The sequence below is a fragment of the Homo sapiens genome, chromosome 5 (assembly GCF_000001405.40).
Source record: "Homo sapiens chromosome 5, GRCh38.p14 Primary Assembly".
NCBI lineage: Eukaryota > Metazoa > Chordata > Mammalia > Primates > Hominidae > Homo > Homo sapiens.
The window spans coordinates 67150224-67163026 of NC_000005.10; the positions used below are offsets into that span (position 1 = coordinate 67150224).

General features: G+C 40.4%; 1 protein-coding gene across 28 annotated transcripts in view; it reads left to right on the forward strand.

Annotated features, from left to right (window-relative positions):
- MAST4 (microtubule associated serine/threonine kinase family member 4) overlaps window positions 1-12803 on the forward strand; it is a 573201-nt gene that overhangs the window by 553831 nt on the left and 6567 nt on the right. For all 28 annotated transcript variants that reach the window (XM_024446044.2, XM_047417157.1, XM_047417158.1 and 25 more), the window contains 4 exons: window positions 2414-2643; window positions 3235-3357; window positions 10233-10369; window positions 12384-12565. In XM_024446044.2, the coding sequence (XP_024301812.1) occupies window positions 2414-2643; window positions 3235-3357; window positions 10233-10369; window positions 12384-12565 (672 nt within the window). The remainder of the gene's footprint in view (window positions 1-2413; window positions 2644-3234; window positions 3358-10232; window positions 10370-12383; window positions 12566-12803) is intronic.

Genomic DNA, 12803 nt, shown 5'->3' on the forward strand with positions numbered 1-12803 from the left:
GATCACTAACTCTGTAGTAATCCCACTGGCAGAAATGAAATATACACCCTGATGGTTGTGATATCACTCAAATGACAGCAAGAGAGTAGAATGGGACTCGAATTATATTGCAGATGGCTTGTTTTTGGAAGAAAACAGATCATGTATAAAAGGCATTGTTTATGTTTTTGAAGCTTCATATTTGTGCAGAAAGCAATTTGACATAAACAAATGCTCATTTGGGAGTAGTGCTCAATCTAGCAGATTCAGTTTCTGGGAGGTGTCCTGTTTAGCACCATAAAACAAACACCTGTATCCCTAGTCTGTGTGACTCTTCATAAGCTGAAGATGATGGTCCTGGTGCAGCTGCACAGATGGGAAGGTAAGTTGGATATGGGCCAGTGCAGTTTTGAAAGCTGGTTAGGAAGCCCGTACTTTGGTAGAACAAGGAAATTATTTGATTTGGGGAGATAAGGGAGACCATCAGAAGGTAAAGAAGTGGGGGCCTGGCCTTTCAGCAGTTTGGGATCTATGTGTGTCCACAGTGACCTCCTCCCACCTGCATGTCTTGAAGTTCCCTGCCTGCCAGCATGCATCTCTTCCCCTGTCCTTTGATTAGACAGAAGAGAGCCAGCAGAAGACAGCCAAGATGCTACATGAAGTCAGAGAGGGAAGGAGCATGGGTCATGATACAGTTGGCTTTGCTCTTCTTTGAACAAGCATAAGAATTGAAATAGTGGGTAGTATGGATACTTTCAGCTTACGGTAGCCACAATGGAACTCACCACACCCTGGTGAGCCTTCAGTAGCACTGGGAACTTTGTAGCCTGGCTCCAACCGAGCTCATGTTTAAACCGCAGCATGTTTTGTAGATTATTCTGCCTTTTCTCAAGTGCACACACACACAGACAGTTTCACATGACCAGTTAAGATCTGTTTAGATTCACGTAGATGAAACAAGGATATGAACTAAAAAGCATTCATTTCTGCTGCTATAACAAAATACTTTAGACTGGGTAAGGTATAAATAACAGAATTTGTTGATCACAGTTCTAGAGCCTGGGAAGTCCAAGATCAAGGTGGCGACAGTTTCAGCATCTGACAAGGGCTTGTTCCTCATGGACAGCACCTTCTCTATTTCCTCACATGGCAGAAGGGAAGAACAAGCTCTCTGCAGCCTCTTGTATAAGGGCACTAATTCATTTATGAGGGGCAGAGCCCTCATGACCTAATCACCTCCCAGAGGCCCCACCTCTTAAAACCATTACCTTGGGGGTTAGTTTTCAACATAGGAATTTTAGGGGGACACAGACATTCAGAGCATAGCAGTTTGCTTCTAAAACAAAGAAAGCAGTAGATTTGGTGTTTTGGAATATGCAATGAGATTCTCTTCAGGTTTCTCTATCTCACCTGCATTAGCCTCTCAGAAACCTTATTAGAATTGCAAGTAATATATGTAGAGAATCAGTTGTCACCACAGTAATGTTATTCATTTATAGAGAAGTCACCACTTCATTGTTTTCCTGATTAAAAATTCTTTCCTTTTTTTTTTTCTTCTTTTTTTCTTTTTTTTTTTTTTTTTTGAGATAGGGTCTTGCTCTGTCGCCTAGGCTGGAGTGCCATGGCACAGTCACGGCTCACTGCAGCCTCGACCTCCCAGGCTTAGGTGATCCTCTCACCTCAGTCTCCCACGTAGCTGGGACTACAGGCACATGCCACCTTTCCTGGCTAATTTTTTGTATTATTTGTAGAGACAGGGTTTAGCCATATTACCTGGCTTGTCTTGAACTCCTGGGCTCAAGCGACCAGCCTACCTTGGCCTCTCAAAAGTGCTGGGATTACAGGTGTGAGCCACTACACCCGGCCAGTTAAAATTCTTTAATCAGTATTCATTTAATAGCATTGTAGAAATCAGCTGGTAAATTGATAAATTGCTTTCCTGGCCATGTGTGTTGAAAAGGACCATGTTAAAATTGTTTAGTGAAGAATTTGGAATCCAGTATCTGTTAATATAATACATACAGTCTTCTCCACATGAAGACATACTTGAAATATATGCATCTATGATTTATTTCTTTACTTAAAATAAAACATTAAGTAAAAATGTCACAGCCAGAGGCTAATCCTTGTGGTGTCTTTTAATAAGCATAGAAACTAAAAAATTATAACATGAGAGTATTGAAATTTCTTTCTCTTTCCTAACTGAAAAATTAGTTAAAATAGCAACACTCTTGAAGTTTGACAGTTTTGGAATTCATGCTAGTTACTGATAGAAACATTTTTGTATTATTTCATCTTCATTTTGCTATTGGAAACAAATGGATTTGTGTTGTGACTATGCCCCCAGTCCTGGCAAGGCTCATGGGGTGAGGGTTGCCTGCATGGATGCTTGTGTGAGCCACATGGGCTTTGATGACTGGCTTCTTTGTTACAGATATGTTTGCTGTTTCCCCTCTGGGAAGTCCAATGTCTCCCCATTCCCTGTCCTCGGACCCTTCTTCTTCACGAGATTCCTCTCCCAGCCGAGATTCCTCAGCAGCTTCTGCCAGTCCACATCAGCCGATTGTGATCCACAGTTCGGGGAAGAACTACGGCTTTACCATCCGAGCCATCCGGGTGTATGTGGGAGACAGTGACATCTATACAGTGCACCATATCGTCTGGGTAAGACCTGCATGTCTCGCACTTGGGATTTTTCATTTCCAGCCAAGCTGGAGAGTGGATAGGTTGGCTGATAAATAGCAAATATATTTACTTTTAAGCTTGCATTTGCGACCTGTTTCATTTTCCTTTTAGAGCTCCATCCCTGTATGTGTATGGTGGAATTGAATTTAGCAAAAACGAATATCTCATAATTCTGTCCAGTTTTCATATTCGATTGTTCTTTCTTACATACCAAGCTGGTAGACATAGTCAAAGGCAATCCTATTTCCATCCTTCTTTTATTTTATCATTTTTTCCTAGCCTTCTTTTTAAAAATGACCTTCTCAAATCACCTGAAATGTTTTGGTCATTCATTTTTTTTTCTTTGTGGCTCTGGTACTTTCAGTCTGAATCACCTGAAAATTTCTAAGTACCATAGAAAGTTTCCTATTTTAGAATAATGATAGAATAGGAATAGTAAACGTACCTGTTAGATTTTCTATTAGAGGCTTAGGACATTTGCTAATTAACTCATTATTCTCCCAGAAGACACAGTAGGTGTTAGAGTAGTCATTTGTTTGCCTACAAATATCCTCTCCTCTTGGACTTTAGAATGTAGAAGAAGGAAGTCCGGCATGCCAGGCAGGACTGAAGGCTGGAGATCTTATCACTCACATCAATGGAGAACCAGTGCATGGACTTGTCCACACAGAAGTTATAGAACTCCTACTGAAGGTATTGTATGTTTTATGTCAGGGCCATGCTGATGAGACAGGCAGCCCAAAGGGGCTAGTACCAGGAGATTGATTTCCCTGTGTCACACCCATGTCTGATTACTGAGAAAGTATTCATTAGTCTCAAGTTTAAAGACAAAGATATTATGAATTCTCTGGTTTTATGTCATGAAATAATGTCCTTATATCTGCATACTCATTCCCTAATTTAATTTTGCTTCTCATTCTAAATTGTAAGTAGTAAGAATTCTCTTTGTTTATATACCTTACACAGTGACATCTATTTGGAGAGTCACCTATCCTGAAGGTGACTTCCTTCAGGAACTTCTAACAGGTTTCATTCTAGTATACTAGAAGACAAAATTGTATTAAACTGTGAGGTTTGATCTGAAGGTTTAGTCTGAGAATTAGAGTTCCTTTGAAAGATAAAATTGTAAATATATACACATGTACTATAAATTATAAAAAATAAGTGGTACTGAAAGAAGAAGTTCTAGCAATTATTAGGCCTCCCTCCCCACCATACAAATTAACTTAAACAGGGATCAATTTCTACTTAAAATGTAAGCAGAATATAGCCTATGGAGTAAGAAGGTCACAGGAAGCATGACTGTAAATGGAGAGAGAGAAAGGACACACACTGATCCTCTCAGATAGCTCTCAGATAGTTCTGTTCAGTTATTTGATTTGTCTTTTTCATTCTTTATAGCAGCGTTGTATTTTATGCAGAACAGCTCCTGCGACAGCATATCTCTAGATAGTATCATATGTCTGTTCACAACATTAGAATAAGAAATAATACACTGAAATGTATATATTGAGAAGTATACATTTGCTTATTTTGCTGAGACATAATTGATCACTTTCGTGATTTATTTTGTAAAGTATTTTAATAGAATTCTGTATTTTAAAACTTCTCTTCCTGCTTCTATGAAATTTGAATGTGTATTTCCCCTAGAGGACTCTGGCAAGGTCTCTTAGCAGACTCAGATGATCCCATTTCTATTGTCTTGCCCTCATCTGGCTACGGAGCACCTTGCACAACCCAAAGCCTTCATTTCTGGATGCAGTCGATGTGTGTCACTGAAACTGCTTAAACAGTGGAGTGGAGAGCCATTGGCACCCTTTGAAGCCACGGTGTACTCTGTCACAAATCCAAAGAACATCCTGCCTGTGTTCATAAAGGAAGCACTCAAGAGGAGTAAGCAATGTCATGAAACCAAGAGGATACAAGGGATTTAATTATCTTCCCAGTGAACTGTGTAATCATGCAGCTTCCTTCCAAATTTAACCAGTGACTCTTGAAATCAGAGTATTAAGTGACTAGTGTCAGTGCTGGGCTCCTGTGTGCCTTCATTGGTTTAACAGCAGGGAAGTTGGCTGTATTATGGTACTCTCGAATGCTGTTTACACAGTGTTTTATACTTGCAAAGGACTTTACGGAATGTCATGGCAGTCTTAGAGAAAGGTGGAGAAGTCCTGACAGGGGTGTAGGTGTATGTTTAGAACTGCATGACTACCTGTATAGTGTTTGTCTTTTGGATTATGAATATAGTAAGCATTTTCCATGTTTCATAGATTCACATATTTGGTCTTGTTTACCTTCACAACTTCAAAGTGAACCTGCTATGGGAGCACTATCTTCCATGCATAGGCAAACTTGTCCAAAGTCACTCAGCATCCTCGATCCATGGAATTATAAAATGTGATGGTTATCCAGTTCAGCTCCCCACTGGCTATATGAATCCCTGACAGTGTCCTCCTTCAGCTTCACCTCAAAGCTTTCCTGCCATGAGGAAAGCTTTTAGACAGCATCAGTCTTTCTAAAAACAACTTTTTAAGTAGACCGAGGTCATTCTTCACCCACTAGCATTACAGGTGGAGACGATACTTGGCCCAGTCCCATTACCTGTTCCAATTAGCCAGGCTTAACTTCTGTGATCTAAGAAACTTTCTTTTCAACCAAGTTGCTTTTTAAGTATAGCATTAGTTTAAATCCCCAATGCATAGGAGAAGCCGTAAAACTTTACCAGCCTCTGCTTCAGAAATTTCCTTTCCATGGACACTGGGGAGCTTCAGTGTACTAAAATGGGGGCCATCAAATAGCTTGATTACCATCCTCCCATATCTGTCAAGCCGCTGATGTGCACAGAGCTGATGTGCAAAATACTGCAAGGGCCAAACAAAAATGACACATAAGGGCCAGGCACAGTGGCTCATACCCGTAATCCCAGCACTTTGGGAGGCCGAGGTGGGGCGATCACGAGGTCAGGAGTTCAAGACCAGCCTGGCCAAGATGGCGAAACCCCATCTCTACTAAAAGTACAAAAATTAGCTGGGCGTGGTGGTGGGCGCCTGTAATCCCAGCTACTCAGGAGGCTGAGACAGAGAATTTCTTGAACCCGGGAGGCGGAGGTTGCAGTGGGCCAAGATAGCGCCACTGCACTCCAGCCTGGGCGACAGAGTGAGATTCCGTCTCAAGAAAAAAAAAAAAAAAAAGACACGTAAGGATAATAGTTAATGGGGCAAGCGCTCTTGATGCCTGCCACACTCTTGTCAATGGTTTTACGGGAATAAACGCATGTAATCCAAACAGTTACCTTCTGAGGTGGGTGCTATAAATATAAATGTTCCCATTTCACAGATGAAAAAAACAAAAGCAGAAGAAGATAACAAAGCAATCTAAGCTTATCTGCTGGAAAGGAGTATAAGATGATTTGCACCCAGGCGATGTAGCTCCGGAGCCTGCACTTTTTCCACTACCACAGCACACTGCTCTACATGTGTGCTGTACATACTCTCCAGCTGCCAGTAACTTAAAGTCTGCTGTTCACAGGGGGAAACAGTGGCCATACCAGGCTAAAATCAAAGTGTTCAACTTAAGTAACAGACTATAAACACGGCAGAAGTTCCAAAAGAGGGATGACTTTTCTCCAGGGTGGACAGGAATGGCGTCAAAGAATTGAGGGTTATCTGTGCAAGGCTTTGATGGATGAGTGGCAATTCAGTATATAGTCAGGGGTGCGGGATAGTCTAGGCCAAATGATGAGGTGTGTAAACATGAGGACAGGAGATCTCAAGGTTTATGAGGTATACAAGTGAACCAGCAGGCTGAAGCCTGGGTTAATGTGAGGATACAGTGTGCAAGATGGCCAAGATTGGGTAGTGAAGGGGTTGAGGCCGCAGGGATGCAATGGGCCCATCTCCCATCTGTGCTTTCCAGAGAAGGAAATGCAAAAGCAGTCGTTCGGTGAGTTACCCAGGGCCAAACTGATAAGTTAACTTAGAGCCAGACCCAGAGAAGAAATTGGACAGCCTGACTTCTGCTATTGTATTCAATTCCGGCAACTTGAAATAATTTTCTTCACACTGTGCACCAGTCATGAAAATAGTTTAAAGTAAAAGTGAATTAATTGAACATTTAACAGTCTGCCAGCTGCATTTTTGTTATTTTTTTAAACAAGTGCTACAGAAATTCTTCTATACAAGGTCAGTCATTAATCAAGAGAAGTTAATTGTGGGTAAATCGACCTAGTAAGCCACCTTGAGCAGTTCAGGTAGCACTCGCTGTAGCTGGATGGATCCACCAGGTGGCAGGCTTCACAAATCTCACCTATCATTTTTCCAATCATTTACCATTTTTGTAACCATTAATGCTTCCAACCTAATTATTGTACTCTGCATCCTTTGTGTCTGTATTTCCCCTTAGAGAAGTTGTCTTTGGCGTATGCCTGTAAGTTAAATGAATTTTCCTCTGGAACAGCCACTTGTGGAGACAAGAAACAGAACTGGGCTTGGTCTTTATAGGGGTAGGAGCATTTGTACTGAGTCTAGTGATGTGCTGTCATTTAAGCCCTGGTCTTCACTGTTTTCTGATGATAAGTATGTTGAGGATTTATATGTGTCTCATACAATTTTATATGTTTATGGCTCCTTCATTTTATCTTGACAGTCTTATACTTTTACCATGCCACGTGTCAATCAAGTGCCTGTTTCCCTTACCGCCACTCATTAAGTACCAGCTATGCACTGTGCCAGGCTCAGGAGAGATGGAGAGGACTGGGGGGCATTCCCTGCCCACAGGGAGCGGGGTTTGGTAGGAGGAGCTTTGGGGGTGAGCAGCAAGAGAGCCAGCATGGGCTTTTCCACTGGACTCTCAGTGACCTCGGAAACAAGAACCTTGTTGTCTGTTGTCTCAGAATCCGTTTTCTTTACCTGTAAAGGAAGGATAACAAACTCTTCTAGGCCATGAGGGTGAAACAAACAACGCTTACGACTTGTTTGTGAAAATAAATTTAGAGAATATATATGAAAATGGTTTAAAAATAAATCTATGCTTTTAAAAAGTCAATCCTGAATTGTATTAGAAAAGAGTGGAACTGGATTCCAGCTCTAGTGGCACACATGGTAGTATAGCCCCAGCGGTCATTATGGTTCTGCACGTCCACTCTCTGCATATGGAAGAGGACTGAAGGAACATCAGTGACACAGGAACTCGCCATGCTTGTTGCCCCTTTCCTTCACCACAGGAAATACTAAAATTTCAGCATGGCCTCAATTTGTGAAGAGAAGACCCCACTCCAAAAAACCTTCAGTGGTAGACCTTACATACTTACAAAATGATTTTTCTCATTAAAGAACAACTAGAATGCCATCTCTACTATCAGATAAAGGTTTATTTTTAATGTTTTGGGGCTTGCATGAAGAATGTTTATTATTTTGCGATAGAAAACAAAATAAACTTTTTTCTCTTGTTGAAGTTAAAGCCCCCTTTCCCTAAAATATTTCCTGCAAATATGACATTAGGTATGAAAGTATATTGTCTTAAACACACACAGAATTCTAAGTCAGCCGTGGTTGTGTGCTCCCGTAATCCCAGCTACTCAGAGGGTGAGGCAGGAGGATTGCTTGAGCCCAGGAGTTCGAGGCTGTGGTGAGCTGTGATCACACCACTGCACTCCAACCTGGGCAATAGAGGAAGACCCCATCTCAAAAAAATTTTTTTTAATTAAAAAAAATTAAAGAACTCTAAAACTAATAATAAAATACTAAGACCTTCCAATATTAAACTGGATGTAAGACTGAATAAATCATTTCTTAAAGAAATACAAATAACCAAACTAAATAAGGGACAACATCAAACTGTGTAAGAATTTAAACACAGAAAATAATCAGCTGGGCACGGTAGCTCATGCCTGTAATCCCAGTACTTTGGGAGGCCAACGCAGGCAGATCGCCTGAGGTCAGGAGTTCAAGACCAGCCTGACCAACATGGAGAAACCCTATCTTTACTAAAAATACAAAATTAGCCAGGCCTGGTTGCACATGCCTGTAATCCCAGCTACCTGGGAGGCTGAGGCAGGAGAATCACTTGAACCTGGGAGGTAGAGGTTGCAGTGAGCCGAGATCGTGCCATTGCACTCCAGCCTGGGCAACAAGAGTGAAACTGTGTCTCAAAAAACAACAAAAAAAGAGAACAATAGCAGTAAGGAAATATTACATAATTTTGATTCACCCATCTGATCGGATATATTGCTCAGCCAGTAAAAATCATGTTTTTAAAGATTATTTAATGATAAAGGGAAAATTTTTCCAAATTATATAATGTGCAATGAAAAAGCAACATAAAGCTGTAAATAAACTGAGATTTAAATTAGTTATAAAGCATGTGTACATATGTGCCTATTTACACATGCGTGAGAAAAAACCAGCAGGAAATATACTGAAATATGACTAGTGGTTGGGTGGTAAGCTTCTTAATTTTTTTTTAATACTTTCCTATTATCTTCTTACTGTAGCATGGATTACTTCCCAAATCAAGGGGGAAGGTAGATGCTATCTTTAAGACAGTCATTCCCTGTCTTTTCAGTCCTCTGCTGCCACCATACCTAACTCCCCCCAACTCCCCTTCACTTGGTACCATGTTGAGCTGAGCTCTAGGTATCTTCCAGGCATGGGCCTTTAAAAAGATCCTTTTCCTTGTACCTCTTGTACTTTCATGGTAATCGGGGCCATCTGTGACCTTGAAAGGACAGGTTTCTCCCCTGGTTATTATGAAATTCAGGAAGGGTAATTGATGCCAGGGACTACCCACCTGCCCTGGGCCCCCCTCGGCCTGACTGCTGACTCCACGCTCAGTTCCATCCCTAGAGGCTGCCCAGCAAGCCCCTTCCCAGGATTGAGAGAAAGGACACCGAAACTCACAGAAATTACCTTACCCTGTATGACCTGGTTAAAAAGAGGTTTCCTACTGGCTGGCATAAATGTTCCAGCTCTGCAAACTGATAGGTTTTATGGTGATAGAAAAGGAGCCTTTTAAAATAATTAAAAATAAAAGTCTCATTCGGTTTTGTTACTCTACAATTTTTAGGCCAAAGGAAAAACACAAAAAGGAGAAAAAAGAAAAATCAACCAAGAGCAGCCAGCCACTGGGAACATTAATACTTAATACCTGTGGAAGAAGTAGTTATCTTATTTATAGTGTTCTTTCCTTGTGTTGCACTGGGTGCAAAAGGCTTTACAGACTTGCTCTCATGTGATCCTCAAATGAGCCCCAGGAGATAGGTAGGATTATATTGTTAATTGGTACAGGAAGTTGAGGGTAGGGAGGGTAGCAGCCTGGTAAGGGCACAGTGCTTGGATTTGAACTCAGATCTGTGGACTCCAGAACTCACCCTCGTAAAGAAACTTCATATTTTGCCTTCCACCCAGTTTGTATTCTGGCAGGACTTCTTTGATTGAAGGGTTATTTAGAAACAGAAGGCCTTTTATATGTATGTTCCTTTCTATTTGTATTTGTCTATGAATCTCTCATCTCTGTTCTGATCTTGCTTCATCACAGCATTTCCCTTTAATGCCACCTCATCTTTTCTTTAGAGTGGGAATAAGGTGTCAATCACTACTACCCCATTTGAAAACACATCAATCAAAACTGGACCAGCCAGGAGAAACAGCTATAAGAGCCGGATGGTGAGGCGGAGCAAGAAATCCAAGAAGAAAGAAAGTCTCGAAAGGTTAGTAAAATCAGTATTCTTTTTAAGTTTGGTGTATACCTATGTTGGGGAAAAGTTACCCCTTAATTAAATGCTTATATATGAAGAAGATCTATTTTTCTGTGAGAAATTTTATGTTATGGTTCACATATATGTATACATTAAAATCCATATTCATAATAGCATCAACTTCCATAGTAAAAGGATTTACATATTTACATTGTGGAAGGATTCAGATTGTTTTTTATCATGTGTGAATGTCAGGAAAAGCCCTTTGCTGTTTTTTAAGCCTCTTCACTTGATTTCAGTTGAGTTGGATTGAGGAACTGGATCTTCAGGTGGTTTTTAACATTAAATCTACATTTAAAATGTCCTTTACGTTATCAAAAAACAAACAGTTGCTATTTTTAAAATGCCAGATATTCTAAAATTACTGTTACCTTTAAAGGTTCCGAATAAGCCTAGAAATAAAAGGGCTTTGTTTTACTCACTGAAAAACGAACTAGCTTATATACTTTTGTAGCCTGGGAAGCACTGATCAGTATCTTTTTGTGCTGCTTGCAGACACTAGCAAGAGGTATGTGTTTCTGGCAGGGCTGTTTCTTGCCAGGCAGCTCTCTGGGTGTGCCTCCTTTGCAATGCCACAGCATTTCTTTACTCAATTGGGCCTGATGAGTCACATCATATTAAAAGGATTTTTGATGATAGAAATGTAGAAAAACAAGCAAACGAAAAGCCATGTATTAACTCTGGGGGGAAAAAAAGTTATACAAGAAAGGAACAGAATTATGTTTCATATGGCCCAGCTGTGAACAATATTTATAATATAAGATAAAATACCGGCCGTTTTTCTAACCAAAAATTTTGCTTTCGCTATATTGGGAAGAATAGAAAAGGGGAAATATATTTGGTTGCAAGGTAGAAGGTGGTTGTATAAGAGCTTAATTATCATCTTTCATAGTAGAAAATCAACAGGTAATTTCTAAAACTGAAAAACTAAAAAATAGCAGTGTACAAACATTTAGCAATATGTAGACAAATGGGAGAAGAAACAGGTAAAAGAATACAAAGCGACTTCTTTGGGGAGTAGAGAAAAATTCGAGTAGAGGAGTTGCTGTTTTTCATTGTATGTTTATAGAAGTATTTGACTTTTTCACCCAAGTACATTTATTACTCTGATTAAAATTACACACACATAAGATCTTCTTTATTATTATGCTTTATATTTTGGCTGTGCTTTAAATCATTTAGAACAAATTGTTTCAAGGGCTAGCAACCAGAAACTTTGTTTTAAGCTTATGTGGAGTGGGTTAGATCTTACCATATATAGGCTTATATGGTAAAAGAACTTTGCACAGCCCGATGCCCTGCTAAGGTGTCAGAAGCTGTGCTTTTGCCTTAAGATGTGCTCATTGAGTACCAAATCCACATTTGCTTCTGCTGCAGTACAGTGTCTGCTGCCCTGCTGATACGATACGCTTCAGCTTCACCTTTCTCGGTTTTTTCTATGTCGTTGTACAGCCTGCATTGTTGTTAGGAATATTCAAGAGCCCACAATGGAATAAGCACAGCAAATAGCCCTTCATTGGCCTCTGCCCAGCCTATCACCATTAAAGAATTTGATTTCCAATACAATGGTTTTGCTTCCAGAGGTTTACTTTGTATTATCTCTTAGTTAAGTTGTGTCTGCATATTTAGGGGTAGGTACTCAGAAGCTTTCAAGCAAAGAGCATCCTCCTCATATACCTAACAAGTAAATGAATGTATTTTTAATGCATTTTATATTTTTCCTATTTTTCCAACTCTTCTTAAGTGTTTGGAATTGAGAGAGGCTCCATTGTCTACTATTAAATACTCTTCCTTTACATGTCATAAGAAGGTTTCTAATAGGAAAGTGGTGTTCTGCTCTTTAATAGGATCTGCTGTTGTATCCCTGTCCCTCACACGGAGTTATTGAGCTGAGCACAATGGTATTTTGGGGAGGCAGCAATAGTTCTGAAAGAAGACTGAACAATTTTTTCCTGTTTTTCTGTAGGAGGAGATCTCTTTTCAAAAAGCTAGCCAAGCAGCCTTCTCCTTTACTCCACACCAGCCGAAGTTTCTCCTGCTTGAACAGATCCCTGTCATCGGGTGAGAGCCTCCCAGGTTCCCCCACTCATAGCTTGTCTCCCCGGTCTCCAACACCAAGCTACCGCTCCACCCCTGACTTCCCATCTGGTGAGTGAGTCTCCTGGTCTAAACAGCAGAGGGGAGGGGAGGTAAAGTCATGTGAGGTCCCCAAAAAACATGAAGCTTGTTCCAGCTGAAAGAAAGCAGGTTGAAGGTGTAAATTATAAAGACAGATTTATAGAGAGGTCATAAGATGTGGCTATTCTGACCAAACAAATAAGTCAAGAAGTATGGGGCTAAACCTTGGCCTGGAGAGGTTTATCTGAAAAGTGTTTATTCCACTAGC